General features: G+C 44.6%; 1 protein-coding gene and 1 pseudogene across 3 annotated transcripts in view, besides 2 other annotated features; both read right to left on the bottom strand.

Moving 5' to 3' along the window:
• The window catches only part of AKAP12 (A-kinase anchoring protein 12), a 118,593-nt gene that overhangs the window by 29,970 nt on the left and 63,442 nt on the right, over positions 1 to 25,181 (bottom strand). For 2 of the 3 annotated variants that reach the window (NM_005100.4, XM_017011517.3), the window contains exon 3: positions 22,687 to 22,843. In NM_005100.4, coding sequence (NP_005091.2) covers positions 22,687 to 22,843 — 157 coding nt within the window. Of the gene's footprint in view, positions 1 to 2,704; positions 3,060 to 22,686; positions 22,844 to 25,181 lie in introns of those variants that run through there. The other variant, NM_144497.2, reaches the window with a different exon arrangement.
• Positions 4,071 to 4,271: a silencer, noted in NCBI's record as "fragment chr6:151645454-151645654 (GRCh37/hg19 assembly coordinates)". NCBI's record gives its function as "represses an EF-1alpha promoter that drives an FKBP-Casp9 reporter gene in an ReSE screen in phorbol 12-myristate 13-acetate-treated (for megakaryocytic differentiation) K562 erythroleukemia cells {active_cell/tissue: K562(+PMA)}" and the evidence as "EXISTENCE:reporter gene assay evidence [ECO:0000049][PMID:32094911]".
• RN7SKP268 (RN7SK pseudogene 268) lies at positions 8,704 to 8,927 on the bottom strand (annotated as a pseudogene).
• Positions 15,164 to 15,803: an enhancer, noted in NCBI's record as "NANOG-H3K27ac hESC enhancer chr6:151633922-151634561 (GRCh37/hg19 assembly coordinates)". NCBI's record gives its function as "activates a minimal SCP1, AML or CMV promoter by ChIP-STARR-seq in primed H9 embryonic stem cells {active_cell/tissue: H9 hESC(primed)}" and the evidence as "EXISTENCE:reporter gene assay evidence [ECO:0000049][PMID:30033119]".

Raw genomic sequence — 25,181 nt, 5'->3', positions numbered from 1 at the left:
TCTTGACTCACTGCAACCTCTGCCTCCCAGGTTCAAGCAATTCTCCTGCCTCAGCCTCCCGAGTAGCTGGGATCACAGGTGCACACTACCACGTCCAGCTAATTTTTGTATTTTTAGTAGAGACGGGGTTTCACCATGTTGGTCAGGCTAGTCTTGTACTCCTGACCTCGTGATCCGCCCGCCTCCGCCTCCCAAAGTGCTGGAATCACAGGCGTGAGCCGCCGCGCCCGGCCACCTTACTGTCAATTTTTTTTTTTTTTTTGAGATGGAGTCTCGCTCTGTCGCCCAGGCTGGAGTGCAGAGGCGCGATCTCGGCTCACTGCAAGCTCTGCCTCCCGAGTTCACGCCATTCTCCTGCCTCAGCCTCCCAAGTAGCTGGGACTACAGGCACCCGCCACCACACCCGGCTAATTTTTTTGTATTTTTACTAGAGACGGGGTTTCACCGTGTTAGCCAGGATGGTCTCGATCTCCTGACCTCGTGATCCGCCCACCTCGGCCTCCCAAAGTCCTGGGATTACAGGCGTGAGCCACCGCGCCCGGTTGTTACTGTCAATTTTTAAAGCTCTCATGGCTTTTCAAGATTCTGAGCAACTATTTAAAGATGATGATTATGAATCTTCCCCATCAGAATAACTTGCGGAGCAAAAACCAAATGACAGCTGAAACTCCCTTTCATTTTTACTTTTTCCACTACGTAAGATTTCTTGCTGGTAAATTTTTGGAGTTAAGATTTTCTGTGCACTTTCTTCTTACCAGGAAAAAGTGCAAAATTTTGCCATATCCTCCACACCCACATTGTAAGAAAAGTAAATTTAGAAAGCAATAGAGCCAATTACCTGATTTTGCCTTAAAAGTTAGTCCTTCCCACTATTTCCATTCATTTATCACTCCATTGGGATTATCTGAGCCAACTATTACAAGCCCCCTCAAGTGCTCCCAGTTTATTAACCTTTAATTACTGCTAAAACTTTAGACCACCTCCTTTTACCATAGGAATCTCAGTATGCGACTAATTGAATAGTGAATATAATAAAAATCATATTGTACCCAAAAAGTACTCAGAAAAAAGTCATGATCTCAGAAGCACCACCCCAGCTGTGACTCCCTACAATACACATTTGCATATTTCATTCATAGAAAAGTTAATGATCTGGGGGAAAAAATGGAGATTTTTGTGTTTTAAATTTTTTTCATTTTGTACAGTCTATTTATTAATAGTTTCGAGATATGGCATAAACTTTCAAGCTGAGTAAATGGTAGAAAGGTTAGCCAAGTCAACTTGGGGGTCGAATTTTAAGGAAATCTCAAAGTAAACAAGCTAATCTATAGGAAGTGAGAGATAATTTTAGTATTGCTGAACTTTCACATTCTTGTAAATTCCACTGGAGCGCATGGCTTTGCAGGAGCAGTTGCATTGAGAAAATTTTAAGTCCTAGAAATTCTACAGTTGATTAAAAAAAAAAAAAAAATGTAGGCCAGGTGCGGTGGCTCACGTCTATAATCCTAGCACTTTGGGAGACCAAGGCGGGCAGATCACAAGGTCAAGAGATCGAGACCATCCTGGCCAACTTGGTGAAACCCCGGCTCTACTAAAAATACAAAAATTATCTGGGCGTGGTGGCACGTGCCTGTAACCCCAGCTACTCGGGAGGCTGAGGCAGGAGAATCGCTTGAACCCAGGAGGTGGAGGTTGCAGTAAGCCAAGATCACACCATTGCACTTCAGTCTGGCGAAAGAGCAAGACTCCATCTCAAAAAACAAACAAAAAACAAACAAACAAAAAAAAAGATTTGGCAGCAATGATCTCAAATATTTAAAGAATAAAGAAGTCCTGTTCCTATAAAGTTAAATTCACAAACGGAATTTAATTTTCTTGATGACAGGAAGAGAAAATACGCAGGTTAGGCCACAGTACAATGGCATAAGACTATCAAATGTCAAGTTAGAGGAGCTGTAAGAGCATTCTAAAAGTTTGATGCGTGTAAGTTATTTGCTAGAAGTAGGCAGTAAATATTATAATTCATACTCACGGCCAGATTCCTAGAAAGTAAGCTAAAGAAACATACTTTTTTCTTTTTTTCTTTTTTTTTTTTTTTTTACTATTTGTTGCCTAAATAGTGTTGCTTCCTAGCCACCGATTTTATAATAACTATGGCTTTATTAAAACCACCACTTAAAGCAGAGCTTAAATGTTAGTCCCCTAAACCACCAAGTGTACCTTTATTCAAAGTTCCTAGTAAACAAGTCAAAATGCAAACACTTGTAATTTGCCCAGAAGAGGAATGTATTCTGTCTATGACTACGGCAAGAGATTAAGCTTTCACAGCTTATTTTCAAATTCACACAAATCTGACATATTTCTATTCAGTCGGCTGCTGTTGTTCCTCTCCACATCCCTCTCTCCCTAAGGGGAAGGGTACAACCCCGAACAAAATATACTAAAGGTCTCCCATAGGCACAGTCAAGAAGATTCCAGCTCAGCCAAAAATGAAACACTGAGGTTGTCTGATTCTTGCTGAGCCCAAGGGAGAATGTTCTTCTGAAGAAAAACTCAGTACACGGAGAGAAATAAATGCCAATAACGGTCCCGCCACTGACCTCCCGGGCTCCCCACCAAACGCTCATTCAACGGAAGAAAGCCCCTTTTCGTGCCCCGTGCCTGCCGTCCAGGGAGGACAAAAGCGACCTGGCTTGTGCCTTACCTGTGATGGTGATGGTCCCCAGCATATTTTAAGTAGCACTACTGTACAGGAGATCAGCTTAGCGGGTCCCTGCCCTCCCCGGCAGACGCCTAGTCTCCTGCCTGCCAACCGCAGGTGGTTTCGGCGGGATCAGAGCGGACTGAGCGCCCAGACACTCCCGGAGGATGGGGGAGAACCGGAGGTGCCCTCGGAGCTGCCGCAGCGAAAAGCAGAGCGCGGATGCATTTCCCCAGATAATTATAGGCGGACCCCCACCCACGCCCCCACCCAGCCACCCACACGCGGGCTGGCGCTGGCCCCTCCCTTGCTGAGCTCCAGGACTTCGGGAGCGCAAACTTCCCCGCCCGGGCCGCACAAGCAGGGGGTCACGTGCTTCACCTTAAAGCCCTCCCCCGAGCTGGGCTCTGTGAGTGGTCAGCGGGTTCTGCAGAGTCCCGGGAGGGTTTAAAGGGTGCTGGGCATGAGTTCGATGCTGGAGCCGGCGCATTGGATCTAAACGGTTACTTCATTCCTGGCACCGATTTACTAATACTTCTGTATCTCAGCTTTTTAAGTCATTTCAAGGAAATAGCCACACAGACAGTAAATTCTCCCTCCATTTTAAAGACTGCATTCTGCATCCTTATGTTTGTTTAAAGGTTGGTGTGGTGCCAACACCTCCCTTCTTGGCATCTGTAGCATTTGATATTTTCACCATCTGTGTCTTACGCATACACACACGTTGCACTGCTCTGAAGACTGGCAACTCTCAGTAGTGCTGTTTCCTAAACTCTTTGAGAAGGGCTCTCAGAAGTGAACTTGTTCCTTCTAACAAGTGCTGTCTTCAACACTTGACCAAGGCAACTTTTCAAAAGCAGACTTGAGCATGGGGTCTTTTTCTAAATGGCAGAAGTTAGCTAACTTTTTAGATCAAACTATGCCATGTTCCAATTTTTAGACACTATCATATCTCTAACATGCAAGCACACAACTCGGAAATCAAAGCCTATGTTAAAAGTTCAGAAGATTTCAGGCAGCCCTAGAATACTTCAATTCTTTCTCATTGAAGCTTCAGGTTTGTTCTTTGTAAAGACACGAGTGACGAATGAGTTGGTGTGGTCTCACAATTTTAATACACTTTTTTTGTACTCCAATTTTTTGTTAGGGTGGGTCCGTTAGGTCCCCTGGGTTTGTTCCCTTCTTTCATCCTTTCCCTATTTATCACTTCATGCCTTGCCTGCCTGACCCATTAACACCAGCTCTTCCCCTACACAAACAAAAAGGAAAGTTTTACTATTGCACTTCTCTTCAGAGAATGAAGATCTTGTTCATTATTGCTTGGGGCAGGGAGGAGGGAGGGGAGCCTCGGCGTAGACCACAGTGGGCACAGCAAAGAGAAGGGTGGGCGAGGAACAGGAGAATCAGGGAAAAATGGAAGTCCAGGAGAGCTGGCTGGCATGGCACGTAGTTGCACTTTTTGGGCACCAGGGGGCGCGATGCACCACACTCGGGCCCAGAGTGAGCAACGTGAAAACCGCTTCCTTGCTGGTAACCAGACCTTGTTACAAAAATCAGCTTCAGCCTCTCCAAAAGCCTGGCTTCCGTTTCACATCCTGGCAAATACCCGGCCTGGCGGGAACAGGGAATGATGGGCCTTGTCCTGACTCAGTGAGATATTGCCTGGAAGCTGACTCCCAGACCCAGCCACTGAGCTGCTTCCCAACCTTTTTTCTCTAGAGAAGTCTCAACTCTATTTCACAAATTGCTCCAATTTTAATAATGAGGCTGGTGTGTGTGAAATGCTGCTGGTACTGACCATCCTTCTGGAGTCCACAGAGCCAAGGGGGCAGGGCAACTTGGCCATTCCTCTCCTCCCAATCCCAGCCCCAGAGTGTCCTGGCTGTGCAAATCATGGATAAAGACGACTTGGGATGTTGCATCAGGGTCTACATTAATAAGTCCCTTCCCCAGAGATGTCCCAGGAGCCGTGGGTGATCTGGGATCTGAGGGCTTGGTTCTGCATCATTTCTCAGCACCAGTGGTTGGGGACAACACAAGGCTATCATCTGGTGCCACTTCTGAAATCGAGTCTGCCCTTGCAGAGCAGAATGAATCTCCAGCTCCTCTCCTTTCTATCAGTCCAAATTCTAACACTGGGACAAGCAACAGCTATTCCACTGAGCTGGATAGGAAGAAAAAGAAAAACACACAAAATGTCACTAGTTACACATTTAATACCCTAAACAACATTTTCAAAGGTCACTGTACTGCTGTTCAGTTTTGGCACTGAAACATTTCTTTTTATGACATTCATGAAGACGCTAACACATCTGATTTGATTTTTTTTTTTTTTGAGATGGAGTCTCGCTCTTGTCACCCAGGCTGGGGTGCAATGACGCGATCTCGGCTCATTGCAACCTCTGACCCCCGGGTTCAAGTGATTCTCCTGCCTCAGCCTCCCAAAAGTAGCTGGGATTACAGGCGCATGCCACCATGCTCGGCTAATTTTTGTATTTTTAGTGGAGACGGGGTTTCACCGTGTTGGCCAGGCTGGTCTTGAACTCCTGACCTCAGGTGATCCACCCGCCTCGGCCTCCCAAAGCGCTGGGACTACAGGCATGAGCCACTGCGTCCGGCCTGATTTGATATTCTTAAAGAGGCAATTAAAATCACAAGGCAGAGCAATAGATCATGTGGCAAGTTGTAGACTCTCTCAGCCAATGGGTCTCCTTTGATCTCTACCTCTAAGAATGATCAAGGACAGGGTGCACGGCCCAGCTGCCCAGCGAGCCTCTGTGTGTCTGCATTTACAAAGAAAAGTCATCAATTAGGATAAAAGCAGGAGTAAAGATGAGACCTAAGGTCACTGTCCAATGCAGGAGACTTTCTTTTATCATTTCCATTCTCTGTTTTTGTTAAATTAGGATTTTTAGAGGAAGACATCACCACCCAAAGCAAGAATTATAGGAAACATTTTGCTGTATAATACATAGATGGATGATAGAAAACGTGTTTTCCCAAATCAGAATGGTTCACTCAACAAATATTTACCAAGTTGTTGCTCCATATTTATTACGCAAAACACCCAGGGATCTAAATGAGATACTATCCCTGGCCTCGGGAGCTCAGTCATGGATGGTGCACACACCCAGTGGCAGGAGTGGGTGGTGGACACGCCCAGTGGCGGGAGTGGGTGGTGGACACGCCCAGTGGCGGGAGTGGGCAGCTCTAGTTTGGCTCACCTCTGAGGTAGCCTTGGAGCTGGTCTCTGAAGGGATGAGGGGACACTCCCTACCTGGGGCACAAAGGAAGGCGGTCCATAGGGACAGACGAGCATGGGCAGAGGCAGAGATGCCAAGAGCAGGACATTTGGGCAATCATGAGTGGGTTCCTCACAGCTATGAGGTTCGGAGTTTACTTAGGGAGGTCCGGGAGTTGGGGGCTTGGCGGGGAAGACAACACTGGAGATGAAACTAAAAATATTTATAAAGGGTCTTGAATGACATGTTAAAGACTTTGTAACAAATTATCCATTAAAAGTGAGCAAAGAATCTGAGTAGCCATTTCTCTAAAGAAAATATACAAATGACCAATGAGCACATGAAAATACGTCCAACGTTATTAGCCCTTAGAAAAATGCAAATCAAAACCACCTCACACCCACTAGGATGACTATAATAAAAAAGAAAAAAGACAACAGGTTGGGCGCGGTGGCTCACACCTGTGATCCCAGCACTTTGGGAGGCTGAGGTGGGCAGATCACGAGATCAGGAGTTCGAGACCAGCCTGGCCAACATGATGAAACCCCGTCTCTACTAAAAATACAAAAATTAGCCGGGCGTGGTGGCGGGCGCCTGTAATCCCAGCTACTCAGGAGGCTGAAGCACAAGAATTGCTTGAACCCAGAGGGGTGGAGGTTGCAGTAAGATGGTATCGCACCACTGCACTCCAGCCTGGGCGACAAAGTGAGACTGTGTCAAAAAAAAAAAAAAAAAAAAAAAAACATAAAGCTGATGTGCCTGGTTTAAAAAACAGGGGCAGGTGGCGGGGGGCAAGGAAGACCACAATAACAAGGAATGGAGAAGGTGGAACCCTCACACATCGCTATTGGGAAGGTAAAATGGTACAGCCACTTTGGAAAATAGGCTGGTAGTTCCTCAGAATGTTAAACATAAATTTATTATATGACCCAGCAATTCTCCTAGACATATAACCAAGAGCAATGGAAATACACACCCACAGAAAAACTTGTCCATCAATGTTCATTACAGCATAATATTCCTAGTAGCCAAAAGTGGAAGCAACCTAAATATCTATCAGCTCATGCAGGGATAAATAAAATTGAGCTTGTTTAATGGAAATGGGTTAGTAATAAAAAGTAATAAGAAATAAAGTACTGAAACATGCCATAACATAGATGAATATTGAAAAAACTTTAAGTGAAAGAAGCTAGTCACCAAAGAGCATACACGGTTTAATTCCATTTATTTGAAATGTCTACAAGAGGCGAATCCATAGACATAAAGTAGTTAGTGGTTACCTAAGACTGGGGGTTTTGGCGGGAGAGGGAGTGACAGCTAACCAGGATGGAGTTTCTTTATGAGGTAATGAAAATGTCCTGGCCAGGTGTGGTGGCTCACACCTATAATCCCAACACTTTGGGAGGCCGAGGCGGGCAGATCACTTGAGGTCAGGAGTTCAAGACCAGCCTGGTCAACATGGTGAAATCCCATCTCTATTAAAAATACAAAATTTAGCCAGACATTGTGGCGCACGCCTGTAATCCCAGCTACTCGGGAGGCTGAGGCATGAGAATCACTTGAACCCAGGAGGTGAAGGTTGCAGTGAGCTGAGATCGCGTCATTGCACTCCAGCCTGGGCAACAGAGCAAGACTCCCTCTCAAAAAAAAAAAAGAAAGAAAGAAAAGAAAATGTCCCACAGTTGATTGTGGGGGTGGTTATACAACTCTGTGAATATAGCAAAAACCACTGAACTGTGTACTTTAAATGGGTCAACTGCATAGTATGTGAATTACAGCTCACAAAAGCTGGTTTGTTTCTTTAAAAAAGAACTTTGTGCTGCTGGTTCTGAAGACTATAGGGAGCCATTGGAGGCTTGAGGCAGGGGATGGTGGCACCGAATTTGACTGTGATTTAGAAAAGGCAACCAGGCTGTGATGACGGGAGGAAGAGACTGAAGCAACAAAACAGATGGATGCAGTAGTGACGAAGGTGAGGGAGGAGTCCAAAGTCACGGTGCCCACAAGATGAAAGATGCAGTGCGAATCTGTGGGATCACCCGAACGGAATGATGTCCATGAAATAAGAATGGCCTGGAACCCTGAGGAAGAGGAATCTGAAAAAGGACCCTGGGAATGGACAGGGATTAGGGGCAATGAGGGAGAAAGTGGCAGCAAAGCCACATGTGGAGAGGATTAAAACATGGAAACAGTGGTCCACAGTGTGACAGCACAAAGTAGTGACACAGGCCGGGCGAGGTGGCTCATGCCTGTAATCCCAGCACTTGGGGAGGCCGAGATGGGAGGATTGCTTGAGGCCAGGAGTGCGAGACCAGCCTGGGCAACACAGCAAGATCCCATCTCTATAAAAAACAAAAACAAAAAACCAAGCAGTGACACAGGAAGAGAACGGGAGAGGCCTCGGAGTGGGCAGTCTGGAGGCGGGACCAGTGGACAGATGGCTGCAATAAAGCAGGCTACTTTCCTCTATTTTTCCTGAAAGGGAGGGGACAGGGACCACTACACTCAGAATTAAAACCAATATTAGGCTCTCCAACTTCCTCCAAGGATGCTTAGGTATTTAACCCAAATATGAGTGTCACGGAATGGAAGAATGGACTTGCACACTAAATTCAACCCTCCCTGGCCTCCTCTCCTCTCATTTTCTCTTTAACCTGGCATCGCCCTTGGAGGAAAAGAAGCCAAAAACCAGTAGGGTCTCTTTTCTTCTTGCTGGAAAAGGACAGATGAAATAGAACAGAGAATCGATGCCACTGTTATTCCTTTAAATGGACCTTGAGCGCGTGTTTGGAGGTTCTAGCAGGGGAGCGCAGCTACTTGTACACCCTTGACCGAAGACCAGTCCTCCTCTATCAGGGATGGTCATCCTCTTCAACCAAGTGTGCAGCTTCGGGAGGGACGCCCATGGAGTGGTGAGGGAGGAAGGGGACACCCGCCTAGCCAGCCCGATCAGCCAAGTCAACCCTGGCAATCAGTGGGGTGACCTCACCTCCTGTTATTCCTTTGAAATGCTCCAAGATAATTTAAAGTTGAGTGAAATACAGCTCCAAATTGGATAACTGTAAAAGAGGAGATATATCTCTATATAGATATATATATCTATATCTATATATATATATCTATATAGAGATATATCTATATCTAGATAGTTATAGATAGTAGATAGATAGATAGATAGATAGATAGATAGATAGATAGATAGACAGACACCTGTCTTTTAGATTCAGGGTGTGTATAGATAGATATCTGTCTGTATCTATCTATCTATACACACCCTGAATCTAAATGACACTGTCAGGTTATCTACAGGATGGGCAGGCTCTCTGCTGCATGCTATGCACATAGATAAATATCAACTAATTGAGTTTTATGGTCCAGTTGAACTGGACATGTTTGTATAGACATGGTTATTGCTATTCAAAATCCAAGATAAATACTCTGAAGAATAGTTCCTCAAAGGAATTGTTATGATACAACAGAAACACTAAAAGAGAATTTTAAAATCACTTTAAAAAGCAACGGGAAAATAAACATTAAAAACTCAAATAATAAAAGTGATGTAGAATAAATATTATTTCTCTCCTTGAGTCCACATATATTTATTTCTTTACCTAGGCAACTCTATGAAATAGACCAAATGAAAAGGTATAGATATATGTAAAAAAATTTCCCAGAAATGAGGTACATGAATTTTTCTTTTCTTTTCTTAGAGACAGGGTCTCACTCTGTCACCCAGGCTACAGTGTAAATGGTGAGATTCATTGTAACCTCAACCTCCTGGGCTCAAGCGATTCTCCTGCCTGAGCCTCTGGAGTAGCTGGAACTACAGGCATGCAACACCACACCTAGATAATTTTTTTATTTTTATTTTTTTGTAGAGACGGGGTCTTGCTGTGTTGCCCAGGCTAGTCTCAAACCCCTGGGCTCAAGTGATCCTCCCACCTTGGCCTCCCAGAGCACTGGAATTACAGGCATGAGCCACTGCATCCAGCCAAGTGTATGAGTTTCTAGACCGAAAGAGCTCAAAGAACCCCGCACATTGAATGGAAACGGATTCACGTGGAGAGTCCTCATTACAAGATATTCAGAAAACTGAAGACCAAAAGGAGTCCATGAGCTACATAAGGGATGAAGACTCGAAACAGCATCAGATTCCAATGGCCAGACATCTATCAAGATAACACTGACAAAGAATCCTAAGGTATTTGAACATACTCAACAGAAATGGACTTGATTAGGGGAATACTTAGGACCAGGATTTTGACAAGCATGAGAAGACATCATACTTTTTGTTCATTGTCCTAGTCCATTTGGGCTGCTATAAAAGCACCATATAAACCAGGTGGCTTATAAACAAGGAACACTTTTATTTTCCACAATCCTGCAGGCTGAAAGTCAGAGATCAGGAGGCCAGTGTGGTTGGGATCTGGTAGTCCTGGATTCTTCTGGACTGCAGACTGCTCCCTGTAACCTCACATGGTGAAAGGGAAGGACACTAATCCCATTCATGAGGGCTCCACCCTCATGACCTAAGTACCTCACAAAGGCTTTCCCTCCAAATACCACATCACCTTAGAGTTAGGATTTCGACATGTACGTTTAGGGGGACACAAACCTTCAGTCCATAATGCTAAGCTTACACGGTGAGGTCACAGGGCTTGGCAGGAGGCTGCTTGAGAGCAAACCTTGGCTCTGCTCCCTGACTATTTGGTTGGACACTATCAATCTGCCACTTTATTTACAGCTAACAGTTATCTGGAAAGCAGGAATTCTCTTGCTCTAATCTCTAGCTACTGCTTTGTGTAAGGCTGTATGCTAATCATCTTGTTGAGTGAAGTACCAGAAGGGTGACTGATCATTCCAGGGTTAGGAATCCATGTCAACATATATTGATGTTTTCTTCACTTTATTTGACTTCAGCTCATTTTGCAACATCCTTGAGGTAAGGGATTCCCTTATACCAGCAGTCACATACTTCAGTATCAATGACTCATGTCCTCCAGTCAATTCTTTCAGTATATAATATTTGGCTTAAAGCAAACTAAGTTGTTCTCATGTTTTAAAGAGTCTGAGAAAGAAATGGTTCTTAAAACTGGGGATACTGAAATTGAAACCCAGTGATGTTTGGCAAGCTTCCATCAAGCACATTCCTGTCTGAAATATATATAAGCCCTGGAGTTTTTCTTTTAATGTGAGACAGGTTATTTTCTCGGGAGATGTTTTGCCTAGAGAAGAAAAGATTAAAGGAAAGACATGATAAATGTTTTCAAATACTTAGAGGGCTGCCATGTGGAAAAAGGAGGTGAGTTTATTCTCTGTAGTTCCACAAGGCAGCCCTGGGAACAGAGAAGAGCAGTTGGAGGGAGGCATATTTTAGCTCCAGAGGAATAAATGGCTTCCTTTTATGGAGAAAACTCCGCAAACCTTCAAGTGGTTAAGCAGAAGAGCCTCCTGCACAGGGGTAGGCTCCTGGTTCAGAGCCTCAAAGCTCCCTTCTACTAACATTTCTCTGTTCCCAAATGTGAATTTCCAGTGGATCACTCATGGAGGCGGTGTTATGAGCTGAACTGTGTCCCCCACAAAATTCACATTTGAAGTCCTAACTCCCAGTACTTGAGAAAGTTACTGCATTTGGAGACAGGGCCTTTAACGAAGTGACTAAGTTAAAATGAGGCCATTAGCCTGGGCCCTAATAAGAACAGGAGTCCTGGCCGGGTGTGGTGGCTCACGCCTGTAATCCCAGCACTTTGAGAGGCCAAGGCGGGCTGATCACTTGAGGTCAGGAGTTCGAGACCATCCTGGCCAACATGGTGAAGAGTAGAACCCCGTCTCTACTAAAAATACAAAAATTAGCCAGGTGTGGTGGTGCAAGCCTGTAATCCCAGCTACTCAGGAGGCTGAGGCAGGAGAATTGCTTGAAACCCAGAGGTGGAGGTTGCAGCGAGCCGAGATCGCGCCACTGCACTCCAGCCTGGGTGACAGAGCGATACCGTGTCTCAAAAAAATTATAAGAACAGGAAATTTGGACACACCAAGAGACCAGGAATGTGCATGTGCACAGAGGAAAGACCATGTGACGATACAGTGAGAAGGCGGCCGTCTGCGAGCAAAAGAGAGAGGCCTCAGGAGGAACCAAACCTGCAACACCAAGATCTCGGACCTCCAGCCTCCAGAACTGTGAGAAAATAAATTTCTGTTGTTTGAACCACCAGTCGAGTATTTTGTCATGACAACCTTAGCAAATTAATACAGGGGGATAATGACCTTATGCCTGCGGTTGGTCTAAATATTGCACGTCCATGTTAAGACACATGAAAGCAACCAGTTCACTCAATTAATTCAATCTAGCACATAGCACTTTTCACCTGAATGACTAATGCATGCACTGGTTAACACTAGAGGTCGGAGGAAAACTACCTGATATCAGGCTATACTGATACTTGAAGTAAAGAGCAATTTGAAAACAATTCGAAGCATGATATGCAGGAATAAATCTTGATTAACAGGCTAAACAGTTGTTGAATTTTAAGCCCAGAGAATATATCTTCAGACATTATCAAAGCATCCTTTTCTATATGATATGGTTTGTCTGTGTCCCCACCCAAATCTCATCTTGACTTGTAGTTCCCATAATCCCCATGTTTAATGGGAGGAACTCAGTGGGAGGAAATTTAATCATGGGGGCAGTTACCCTCATGCTGTTCTCATGATAGTGAGTGAGTTCTCATGAGATCTGGTGGTTTTATAAGGGGTTCTTCCCCCTTTTGCTCGCCACTTCTCCTTCCTGCTGCCATGTGAAGAAGGATGTGTTTGCTTCCCCTTCCGCCATTATTGTTAAGTTTCCTGAGGCCTCCCCGCCCCTGCAGAACTGTGAGTCAATTAAACCTCTTTCCTTTATAAACTACCCAGTCTTGGGCAGTTCTTTATAACAGTGTGAGAATGGACCAATACACTATAATACAGGGACATCATGCTCTAGACTATATCATTGCCTTAATCATGTAAAAGTTACTATAAATTAGGTGACACTGAAATTGTTTTACACTCAAGGTGAGTCAGTCCTTGAGAAAATGCCTAAAAGATTTTCATTCCATAAATAAAACAGCCACTACAGTCTGAATGTTTGTGTCCCTCCCCACAAAAAATTTCATATGTTGAAACCTAATCACCAAGGTGATGATATTAGAGGGTGGGGCCTTTGGGAGGTGATCAGCCTCAGGATGGAGCACTCATGAATGGGATTAGTGCCCTCATATAAGAGGCTTAAGGGTGTTTGTTTGTCCCCTCTGCCCTTCTGCCACATGAGAACACATAGGTGGCACCATCCAGAGAAAGTGGGACCTCACAAGACTCTGATTCTGTTGGTGCCTTGATCTGGGACTTCCCAGCCTCCAGAACTATAAGTAATAAATTTCTGTTGCTTATAAATTACCTGGTCTAAGGTATTTTGTTACAACAGCCTGAACGGACTAAGACACAGCTAAAATAATTGCATGTCTCCATTAGTGGCTTAGTTACAATCAGAGAGCCACTCCTTGTGGACCACCTCAGTCCCTTCAAGGAAAAGGGCCTAAATCTTTTTTTTTTTTTTTCTTGAGACAGAGTCTCACTCTGTTGCCCAGGGTGGAGTGCAATGGTGTGATCTCGGCTCATTGCAACCCTCGCCTACCGGGTTCAAGCGATTCTCCTGCCTCAGCCTCCCGAATAGCTGGGACTACAGCTGCATGCCACCATGCCGGGCTAATTTTTGTATTTTTAGTAGGACGGGGTTTCACTATGTTGCCCAGGCTGGTCTCGAACTCCTGACCTTGTGATCCACCCACCTCAGCCTCCCAAAGTGCTGGGATTACAGGCGTGAGCCACTGTGCCCAGCAGAAAAGGGCCTAATTCTTAGACTGTTACTTGGGCAAGCCTACAGGCTGACTTGCCTGGCTCCTTCTCAAATGGGCCAGAACATGGACCCAATTTGAAAGTGGACTTGAGTGGCCTCCGAACTATAGAGATTTATAGGTAACATCTCCAAGGCTGACTGAAAATCTTTAGGGCAAGCAGCTATGGCATTTACCAACTTCTTTCCCCCATCCCTGGCTATAACCAATCCCTATTACATAGTCCTGACCGCCAGTCATTCAGCAGAACACATATGGGGGGATGAGAGGATGACGTTTAGTGGCCACATTTGTGAAGGGATTTATCTTATTCTTTGACACCAAGAGGATTATGTTTCAAGATATTTTTGAATAAAATTCCCCCCTTGAACTTTTTGTTTAATTAAATTAAAACTTCAAATATAGAAAATGGCTTTTAAGATCAGATTAGAGGCCGGGTGCGGTGGCTCATGCCTGTAATCCCAGCACTTGGGAGGCTGAAGTGGGTGGATGACTTGAGGTTACGAGTTTGAGACCAGCCATGGTCAACATGGCAAAACCCCATCTCTACTAAAATACAAAAATTAGCTGGGCGTGGTGGTGCACGCCTGTAATTCCAGCTACTCAGGAGCCTGAGGCATGAGAATTGCTTGAACCCAGGAGGCAGAGGTTGCAGTGAGCTGAGACTGCACCACTGTACTTCAGCCTGGGAGAGTTCGGAGACTCTGTCTCCGAAAAAAAAAAAAAAATTAGAAAAGCCATAAAAGTATTTTTATAAAAAGGCATAACGGAATTACCAAGTGGATTGCTGCCTGCTTCAGGTCGCTTGGGTGTCTTCATTAGCTAATCCACTATTTCATTTTTAGTACCCATATAACTAGTCATATTGATATTAGCCACAGAATTTCGGAGATGGGTGGGGATGCTCATTTCATAGATGAAAACTGACTTGCAATGAGATAAAGAAATGTATTCAAATCAAGATCACGCAAAAAGTAGTAATTAAAGCAGTCTTAGCCGTGTCTAGCGCCCTAGAATTAGTTGATTTACGAAGGGGAGAAAGGGTGAACAGAAGTCTTGCTGTCCTTCTTCCTCACTCCTTTTGTTAAGTCAGAAGGAAAAAAAGTTCACTGCACTGTCAGACTTGAATATAGTTCAGAGAAAAACATCTTGACTGCTGATTACAGGAAAATAAATCTCTGTTTCTTTAAGGATGAAGGCAGTGAAATATTTGGACCAGAAATTTGTCAATGACATAAGTAATTTCAGTGCAGCCACACTAAAAACAATTGCTGCAGAGCAGGAGAATGAATTAAAACCAGTTCCCAGAAATCGCATAGCATAGTACTTTTACCTAAGTTCAAGGCCTATTTTGTGTGTGTTCCCTCCAGTCTTCAAAACATTACAAAACAGGATACAGCTTGAGAAAATGTCATGCAATAATATTGTATTTGAAATACCAAAGTGTGTGCAAGGGGACCCCTCTCTTTATCTATTGGGCACTTGTGTTTGATAGCGTTACTAGGAATCCACATTTAATCACGTGCAGGTCAGGGTCCTATTTCATGTTTCCAGGCAACACCTGGCTAACCAACAGCAAGCACCTGTGAGAACCCAGCATGGTGCGATCCTGGAAAGGGTCTGGCTTTGTCAGTGCTGATGCAACAAAGGAAAGAGAGCCTTGGATAAAATGTACAAAGCCGCAGTCTTTAAGCAGGAAATGAATTGATACAGAGTTAAAGCCAACAGCTCCTCCTCACCTAGATGATTATAAATGTAATACTGTGAACTCCAACTGAAAACTGTGTCTTCATTTATTCATATATTTGCTGAGCGCTACCTCTGTTCCAGCTACTGGTCCAGGCTCAGAGGATTCAGCACTGAACTAAACAGCCCCCCTCACCCCATCTCCTGCCATGGACCACCCTCCGAATCCCCATCCCAAGAAAACTCTGCCCTCATGATTCTTTTTTTTTTTTTTTTTTGGAGACAGAGTCTCCCTCTTGTAGCCTAGGCTGGAGTGCAGTGGCACGATCTCGGCTTACTACAACCTCCAGCTCCCGGATTCAAGCGATTCTCCTGCTTCAGCCTCCCAAGTGGCTGGGACTACAGGCGCCCGCCACCACGCCCGGCTAATTTTTTTGTATTTTTAGTAGAGACGGAGTTTCACCGTGTTAGCCTGGATGGTCTGGATCTCCTGACCTCGTGATCCGCCCACCTCGGCCTCCCAAAGTGTGGGGATTACAGGCGTGAGCCACCGTGCCCGGCCGTCCTCATGATTCTTATATTTTATTTTATTTTTTGAGACAGGGTCTCAATCTGTTGCCCAGGCTGGTACAGTGGTGCAATCATGGCTCACTGCAGCCTCAAACTCCTGGGCTCAAGTCAAGCGATCCTCCCACCTTAGCCTCCCAAGCAACTAGGAATACAGGCGTGCACCACCACGTCCAGCTAATTTTTTTAAACGTTCGTAGAGACAAGGGTCTCACTATGCTTCCCAGATTGGTCTCGAACTCCTGGGCTCAAGTGATCCGCCCTCCTCGGCCTCCCAAAGTGCTGGGATTACCGTTGTAAGTCACCGCACCTGGGCTTGATTCTTATATTTTAGCCAAAGTGTGGGTGAGAGACAGATGTCAAATGCCAGATGTTAACAACTGGTGTAGAGAAAAGGAAAGGAGGAGTGGAGGGCTGTAATGTGGGTGACAGGCACTTCTAACAAGATACCAATGATGTCACAATTTGAAAACTGAAATAGAAAAGGAATCAAATCATAAAAATATTCCTTCTGGGCAGAGAAAGCAGCCTCTTGCAGAGGAAACAGGTATGGGGTGGGGGAGTCATCTTTGAAGAGGCTCAGAGCAGGTCTTAGGGTGCCTACTATACAGATAAAGTTATTAAATGTTCAAAGCAAAGAAGAACGACTTTTAACTCAGAATGGATTTTCTGTAAGGTAACAAGATCTTTAGGGAGGGCTGGGATTATCTGGCGGTAATCTTTCGGCCTTTCTGTTTCCCAGAGGAACTGTACACCAGGAGCTGGTGGGTTCAAATGGCAAATTTAATAAAAGCAGACGATGACATTAAGCGCCATTAGAAAAATGAAATTCTCTAAAGTGTTGTATTTGTTACTATATCTGGGGGAAAATACTCAGATGTAGAAAAGTGGAATCCTGTAAAACGTTAAGAAATACATCCCCTCAAAGACTTCTGCTTTAAGTGACAGCATTTTGAGGGTTTTTGTTTCTCATTTTTCCCCGGGGGTGGGGGGTGTGATCACAGCTGGTGTCACAGTGGCGGTCCACGTGCACACACCGGGAGCCGCCTCTATACCGTTATCTGATTAGTGTAACAAGGCCTGGTTCATCTGGTCACTGGCTGACAGTTTTAAAGCAGCTAGCCCCAGAGTGGCAAATGCCAAGGTCAGAGCACCCAGCTGCTTCCTGCTCCATTGCTGCTGGTGTAAATATCCTCAACTCTGGGTACACAAGAGGTGTGAACAGAAATTACTTAAGGCTGGCTGTGGTGGCTCACTTCTGTAGTCCCAAGACTTTGGGAGGCTGACGTGGAAGGAAGCTTGAAGCCAAGAATTTGAGACCAGCCTGGGCAACATGGCAAGAACCTGTTTCTACAAAAGCATTTTAAAGAACTATCTGGCGCAGTGGCACATGCCTCTAGTCTTAACTACTGGGAAGGCTGAGCCAGGAGGATCACATGTGCCCAGAAGTTTGAGGCTACGTCGAACCATGATTGCACTACTGCACTCTGACCTGGGTGACAGAGCAAGGGCCTCTTTAAAAAAAAAACTTTCTAAAGCTAAGGAAAAGATTGCCATTGTCTGTTTGCTCACAGAAACAAATGTGACCTGTGAAGGTTGGAGAAAAGCTGGTTTTCACATGCTTTAAAATGTTTGCTGTACGTACTCTGCAGAGACGCAAATCTCAAAAAGAAAACAAATAACTGCATTGTAAGTGATTAATTCAAATGGATGAAGACCTGAGATAATCACTGGATTACTTGTATATGGCAATGAGTTTTGCAGACACTTTATTTCAAAATCAAATATGCTATTATCAAAATAAATAAGGTGTTGCTTTTTGAGTAACTGATTTTCCTCAACTGTTCGGGGAAAAAAAAATCATCTGCCTAACAGATACTAAGATTGAATTTCACGTTTAAATTTCAAAGTTGTTCTAATTACCAAAAGTTAAAAAAAATATAGAGACAGGGTTTCGCCACGTTGGCTGATCTCAAAATCCTGGACCCCAGCCTCGACCTCCCCAAGGGCTGTGATTACAGGCGTGAGCCACCGCCCCCAGCCTGCAAAACTTTTAAATCTAAAATTGGTCTCAGCCCAAGATACAATGTTTTAAAAATCATTCCTGTTTGGGTTTCTGTTTTGTTTTTGTTTTTTTTTTGAGATGGAGTTTCGCTCTTGTTGCCCAGGCTGGAGTGCAGTGGCGTGATCTCAGCTCACTGCACCCTCCGCCTCCGGGTTCAAGCGATTCTCCTGCCTCAGCCTCATGAGTAGCTGGGATATCAGGCATCTGCCATCCACGCCCAGCTAATTTTTTGTATTTTTAGTAGAGACGGGGTTTCACCATGTTGGCCAGGCTGGTCTGGACCTCCTGGCCTGAGGTGATCCACTCGCCTCGGCCCCCCAAAGTGCTGGGATTACAGGTGTGAGCCACTGCACCCAGGCTCTTGTTTGGGTTTTTAACAAAGAGAAGACCGTACAAGCCATAGACTATAAAACGATTGATAATTTGGGTTGCGGAAAGGGAGCTTTTCTTTTTCTTTTTTTTTTTTTCATCTTTTCGGTAGAAGCAGATTTGCCCCAAACCAATGGCACTTGTGCAGTCTCTGTGAATGCTGGGAACAGCACAGCATGACAGCACTTTTTAGTTAGGGAGAGGAAGCCCAGTTGCATTTCTATATAAGCTGTTTGTATAAACTGAAAATCCCAAAGCTCAGAAGAAAGGGACTGCTCGCCAAGGCTAAGGTAATTAGTTGTGTTTATTTTCATTATAAATAAATGTTTGTGTCCATGCCTCATTGTGTATGCTCTTATAGAAGTCCACCAAATGACATAATCAAGCCCCCTCCCCAAATCTACATATATCAGACCCTGCTGTAGAGTTTAGACAATATTTATATGCGGTTCCTTCTTTCTAACATTTAAGAAAGTTTACAAAGAAGCAGAATTCTGTTTTCATTATAGGAGGAGGGTTGGTTCTGAACTACCAGTATTTCCAGTTTTAGAAAGAGCAAGTGAATCAAAATGGGAAAAAAAATTTCACCTCTAGCTTTGTCTGCCACTGTAAAGTAAAAACCCTCCAGTAGGAATGGCCCTTGTTCATTATTTTCTCCCATCAGTTGATCTTGCTATTTTATCTACAGCAGGACCAAATTCCACTGTGGGCCAGTCCTCCCAGGGACCAAAATGGGTCAGTTCTCTTCTTATTTAAGTGGACAGTGGTAGAAACAAAGGTGTCCCAAATCCTACAGGTCAGTGTCACATGCCAAATTATGCCTTTGTCTATCCTACAGCAAACTGTCATATAGAATTCTGATTTCTGGAAGCAACCATAAAGCCTAATCATGAGCGAGCCGGGCACGGTGACTCAAGCCTGTAATCCCAGCACTTTGGGAGGCCGAGGCAGGCGGATCACCTGAGGTCAGGAGTTCGAGACCAGCCTGGCCAGCATGGTGAAACCCCATCTCTACTAAAAATACAAAAATTAGCCAGGCGTGGTGGTGCATGCCTGTAATCCCAGATACCTGAGAGGCTAAGGCAGGACAATTGCTTGAACCCGGGAGATGGAAACTGCAGTGAGCCAAGATCACGCCACTGTACTCCAGCTTGGGTGACAGAGCAAGACTCCGTCTCAAAACAAAACTAAACAAAAACCTAACCATGAGCTGTCACTGATGTCAAAAGCACGGAAAAATGCTGTTTAATAAGTTAACACGAAGATTCTGTCTGTATTTACATTGTCAGGCTATTAATTATCATCTGCCAGGCAGAAAAAAATAGAGAAAGAAAAAAACAGAAGGAGTATGCCAAGTTGCCACAGAGAACCTAATAAACCAAGAGAATAGCAGTTGGACCTAAAACAGCAAAAGCTCACCCCAAAAGTAAGGCCTCCAGAAACACCTCTGGTGGGTAGCCTCTGTAGCCCTGGGCTATGGTATGGAGGCACATCTAGTTCTTTTTTCCTAGAGGTCAAGGCCTTTTCAAGATCTTGGGAAGGACAAGGTATATTAATTGGCTGGTCACGGTGGCTCACGTCTGTAATTCCAGCACTCTGGGAGGCTGAGGCGGGCGGATCACTTGAGGTCAGGAGTTCAAGACCATACTGGCCAACATGGTGAAACCTTGTCTCTACTGAAAATACAAAAGTTAGCTGGGCATGATGGCAGGCACCTGTAGTCCCAGCTACTCAGGAGTCTGAGGCAGGAGAATCACTTGAACCTGGAAGACAGAGGTTGCAGTGAGCCGAAATCATGCCACTGCACTCTAGCCTGGGTGATACAGCAAGACCCTGTCTCAAAATAAACAAACAACAACAATAACAAAAAATGTATAGTAATTACCACTCTTCCACAGCTGGGCGTGGCGGCTCACACCTGTAATCCCACCACTTTGGGGGACTGAGGCAGGCATATCACTTGAGGTCAGAAGTTCGAAACCAGCCTGGCCAACATGGTGAAACCCCATTTCTACTAAAAATACAAAAATTAGCCAGGTGTGGTGGCACGTCCCAGCTACTCAGGAGGCTGAGGCAGGAGAATCACTGGAGCCGGAGGCGGGGGATGTGCGCGGGGAGGCAGATGTTGCAGTAAGCCGAGCTCAAGCCACTGCACTCCAGCCTGGGCGACAGAGTGAGACTGAGACACCATCTCAAAAAATAAAAAATAAAAATCACCACCCTTCCTGCATGGGGGATTTGATATTTGCTCAGACCTCCGAGGCCATGGTCAGAAGCCTAGGTCACCTCAGGGAGACGATGGAATAGTCACAGGGGAGGGACTGAATCACTCACTGTGAAAATCAGTGTTTACCCACGTGGCTGAAATGTAAAAGAAATCACATCTGGACTATGGTAAGATAACCTTAAGACCTCCAGTAAACATGCCACAGATTAAAAAAGAATTTCCAGGCTATTTGGGATTCTATGAAAAAAACTGTGTCCCTGCCCCATCCCTCCCTCCTCTTATACATCCTACAGATCACCTAAGTCAGACAAGAAGCCTCCGGCACCCCTTTGGTGGCATAGTTCAGTGATCACACGTTGTCCACTAAATACTTTCTAAACTCCACTCTGCTTTCAGGGCCCTGTTATCTGGCCCCTTTTCCCTTCTGGGCTTTCATTCTACACCCTTCAATAAAAACTCTTTGCAGGGGCTAGGCTGTTCCAACACACCAGCCTCCGAACCTGCCCGGCACAGTGAGAGCACAGTGGTTAAGTGGTTTTGGAATCTGCTGATCTGGATTTGCATCTTGGGAACAATATCACCTACTTCATAGGGTTGCTGTAACTATTAAAGGTGATAACGCACAAAAGGCACCTCTCTGGGCCCTATAATAAAAGCACATAAAGTGTTGGCTGTTATTATTCTCCTCACTTTTGCTGACATTCCTTGTTTACACACATCTAAATCCAGCCTCCCCCTAATCTCCCCTCTCACCTCAAGTGACTGCTCCACCTGAACCCTGCAGCTCTCATCCCTTGCACAATTCATTTGGTAGTCACCAAGTTGCCTTGTCTTAACCTTACAGACTTGGTCATAGTAAGCTCACATGTTGCTGGTGCTTGACTTGATTCAAAAGTTAACATGGGAAAGACAAAGCTTTGGACTTGGGAATTTGAGTTGGGTCCATTCCAATCATTTGGGTGAAAATTATTTGAAACTCTCACACTAGGTCATGCAAATACTCCGCCTGTGAGACTGTGTATATTTCTAACTTTATATTGTGCCTGTGGTGCTATATACAGATAAGTATTCCCACCAACTTCAAAAGCAGCTCCCTGCTTGAAGCAGCTCTGTGGGGGCATCAAACAAGAAGAAAAACAGGTTCCACATGTTTGAAGAATCTCATCTAAGTGAGGCGATGTTGAATCTCCTGTGAAAGGACTTTTCCCTTCATTTGTCTCTCTTATTCATATTACACGAATCAATTTACCGTATGCCGAATCATCATTTTACATATATTTGATAGCAGTTATTGGTTATCCCTTTATTTATAATTAAATGGAACAACGAGCTCAAGGTCCTTCTTCAACATGCAGCCTTTCGCTTTTCACAAGAGACTTACTGGGCCACATGCTCTCAATTCTGACCTCAAGATACGGTTCCTCACCCCCTATATGGGTAAAAATCAAATCCCAATACTGTGTCCAAACGGTCACTCTTCAATAACCATTCCTCGAAGATCTCTAGGCTCAAGAGCTATAAAACACGCAGCACATCATAGTTTAAGCAAAGAGGGGTACGTGCCTTGCAATGCGCCTATCAGAAAGAGTTGTACAAGTATAGCAGGCTCCTCTCTAGAGGGAGAGATAATGACTCTTTTAAAGCAACCATGACTTCTGTTTCCAACAAGAATTCACATTCAACTCCAGACAAGCAGTTGGGACAAAGCAACAATAATTTAAAAAGCATCAAGTTCCAGATAAGAAAAAGGAAACATAACTTCAAGGTCTAAGTATAGGGGGTATCCAAATGGTCAGATAAATACTTCCTTTTGTAACCAATTGATTGTTTTTGCTGTTAACACCAATCCACCACCAGGCAGTATGACAGAGTATTTTCTGCTGAGTCCAAAGTTTGTTGCAAGTGCTGTGTGCCTTCCAGTTCCTGGAGGGGCGGCTTACCCTCTGTGACAATGACTTCTTCTTCCTCCTGGCTGTTTAGGGCTCCTTGACCGTTCAGGGCTCCTTTCTGGCCATTTAGGTCACCCTCCTGGAGGCTGAGCTCATCTTGCTCAGCTACGCCATTGATGGTGGACAGCTGACCATTCTTCTGTAGGAGCTATGGAAAAGACAAAGCCATAGAAACTTAATTTCAGTCCTCATGACCAAGTCAGAAACAAGGCATTAACTTCCAGAATACAAACCAGTGAAAGAAGAAATACAGAGAAAAGGAAGTTCAAAAACAATGAAGAGTTAAGTCTTATATTTGTCTGAAAGATCCAGCTACCTTACAAGCAGATAGGGCCTTGTATCTGGGTAAGTGTGCCCATCAGCCATTCATCCACTCATTAATTCATTCATTGGAACACCAGATACATACATTCACCTTTCCAGACCTATTTCAAATATAACCATGAAAAAATCAGATGTGTTTCCCAGAGCTTTGAGCTTACAAATTACTATGGAAGGCAGACTTAAAAACCTCTTTTTTACTTTAAAATAATAAATAATGTTTCCTTGTGATTAGATGCAGGTTAAGCATAATTGACTGAACAAGTCAGAAGGCAGACTTTTAAACAAATAATTACTAAACTGCAGCTGTGGAAACTGTCATGAAGGAGGCATACATAGAACAAATAACAATAAACAGAGCCCTTGAGAATGAATCAAGTAGGTTTTAAAAAAAAAAAAAAAAACAGCCCTGACTGAGGCTGGGGGTGTCCAGGACTTCTCTGAGGAAGCAATGGTAAAGCTGAGATCTCATTTCCACAGGCAAGGGCTGTGTAAGAAAAGGATAAACGGGGTGCAGAGAAGGGAGGCCGCTTGGCGCGAAGGCCAGTGCTCCCAGAGCCCAGCAAGCAAACAAGACACATATAACATGTCCATTTGGGTCATTGTTTTTTCCTTAAAAATATTACTACAATGGTCATTTGCAATCCTCCCCATAGGATGCCCTGTGCAACTGATGGCATCAGTTTCAAAATCAGCAGGCATGGCCGGGCGTGGTGGCTCATGTTTGTAATCCCAGCACTTTGGGAGGCCGAGGCGGGCAGATCACGAGGAGTTCAAGACCAGCCTGGCCAACATAGTGAAACCCCGTCTCTACTAATAATACAAAAAAATTAGCCAGGCATGGTGGTGCATGCCTGTAGTCCCAGCTACCTGGGAGGCTGCAGAAGGAGAATCACTTGAACCTGGAGGTGGATGTGGGAGGTGGAGGTTACAGCGAGCAGAGATTGAGCCACAGCACTCCAGCCTGGGTGACGGAGCGAGAAAAACAAAAAACAAAAATGAAAAAACCCACAAAATCAGCAGGCATGTAGGCATGCCCTTGGTCATATAATCCTTTTTTTTTTTTTTTTTTTTTTTTTTTTTTTGAGATGGAGTGTCACTGTTTCACCCAGGCTGAAGTGCAGTGGCGTGATCTCGGTTCACTGCAACCTCCAGTTCCCAGGTTCAAGTGATCTTCCTGCCTCAGCCTCCCACATAGCAGGGATTACAGGCGTGCACCACCATGCCTGGCTAATTTTTGTATTTTTAGTAGAGACGTGGTTTGCCATGTTGGCCAGGCTGGTCTCAGACTCCTGACCTCAAGTGATCCACCCACCTCTGCCTCCCAAAGTGCTAGGATTACAGGTGTGAGCCACTGTGCCCGGCTTGCTCTTGGTCGTATTTTTAATCCTGAGAATATAGGTAAAAAAATTTTAAGCCAATAGAAACAATAACCATTAGGAACCTAAATGTTTCAACAATGTAATATACAGCAATGTTATATATACAGATATCTCATTTATCTTAAAACCAACATAGGCAGCTGCTATTATTTCCATTTTATAATAATGACACCGGGACTCAAAGCAATTCTGGTGGGGTGGGGTTGTCTTGCCCCAGGTCACACAGCTCAGGAATGGGGGCATCATGGCCCGAAGCCAACTCTTGCCACCAACTATTTCCAGCGTTTTTCTGTTTGAGGCTCTCAACATAAAGATAGGTGCCATGTTTTGAAGGTCCTGTTACTACACACAATTATAAAGATAGGTGCCATGTTTTGAAGGTCCTGTTACTACACACAATTACAAAGATACGTGCCATGCTTTGAAGGTCCTGTTACTACACACAATTATAAAATGACTTAAAGGGTATTCCAGGTCTGGAACCGGTCTGGAAAAGGTCTGGTACAGACCTGCATGCTACAAAGCAATCTCAACTCTGCACTCCATCTGACATCATTCCATCCTGCTTCCAGGCCAATGAATGACTCTGGACTCACCACTGACTTAGACCCTGAACGCTGAAGGGACAGTGGGTTCAAGACACGCAATCCAGAAGCCTTAAGTTGTGCTAAATTGATTTCACCTGGCTGTTCTCGGCTCCCAGCAAGGCTGTCCTTCAACTGCATGAGCTTCCTCCTGAAATAATACCACTGTAGTTTAATACTTACACTACAGATGGGATTG

The sequence above is a fragment of the Homo sapiens genome, chromosome 6, assembly GCF_000001405.40.
Source record: "Homo sapiens chromosome 6, GRCh38.p14 Primary Assembly".
Classification (NCBI taxonomy): Eukaryota; Metazoa; Chordata; class Mammalia; order Primates; family Hominidae; genus Homo; species Homo sapiens.
Note: the sequence above shows the minus strand (reverse complement) of the source record. Positions and strands in the feature narration are given on the sequence as shown.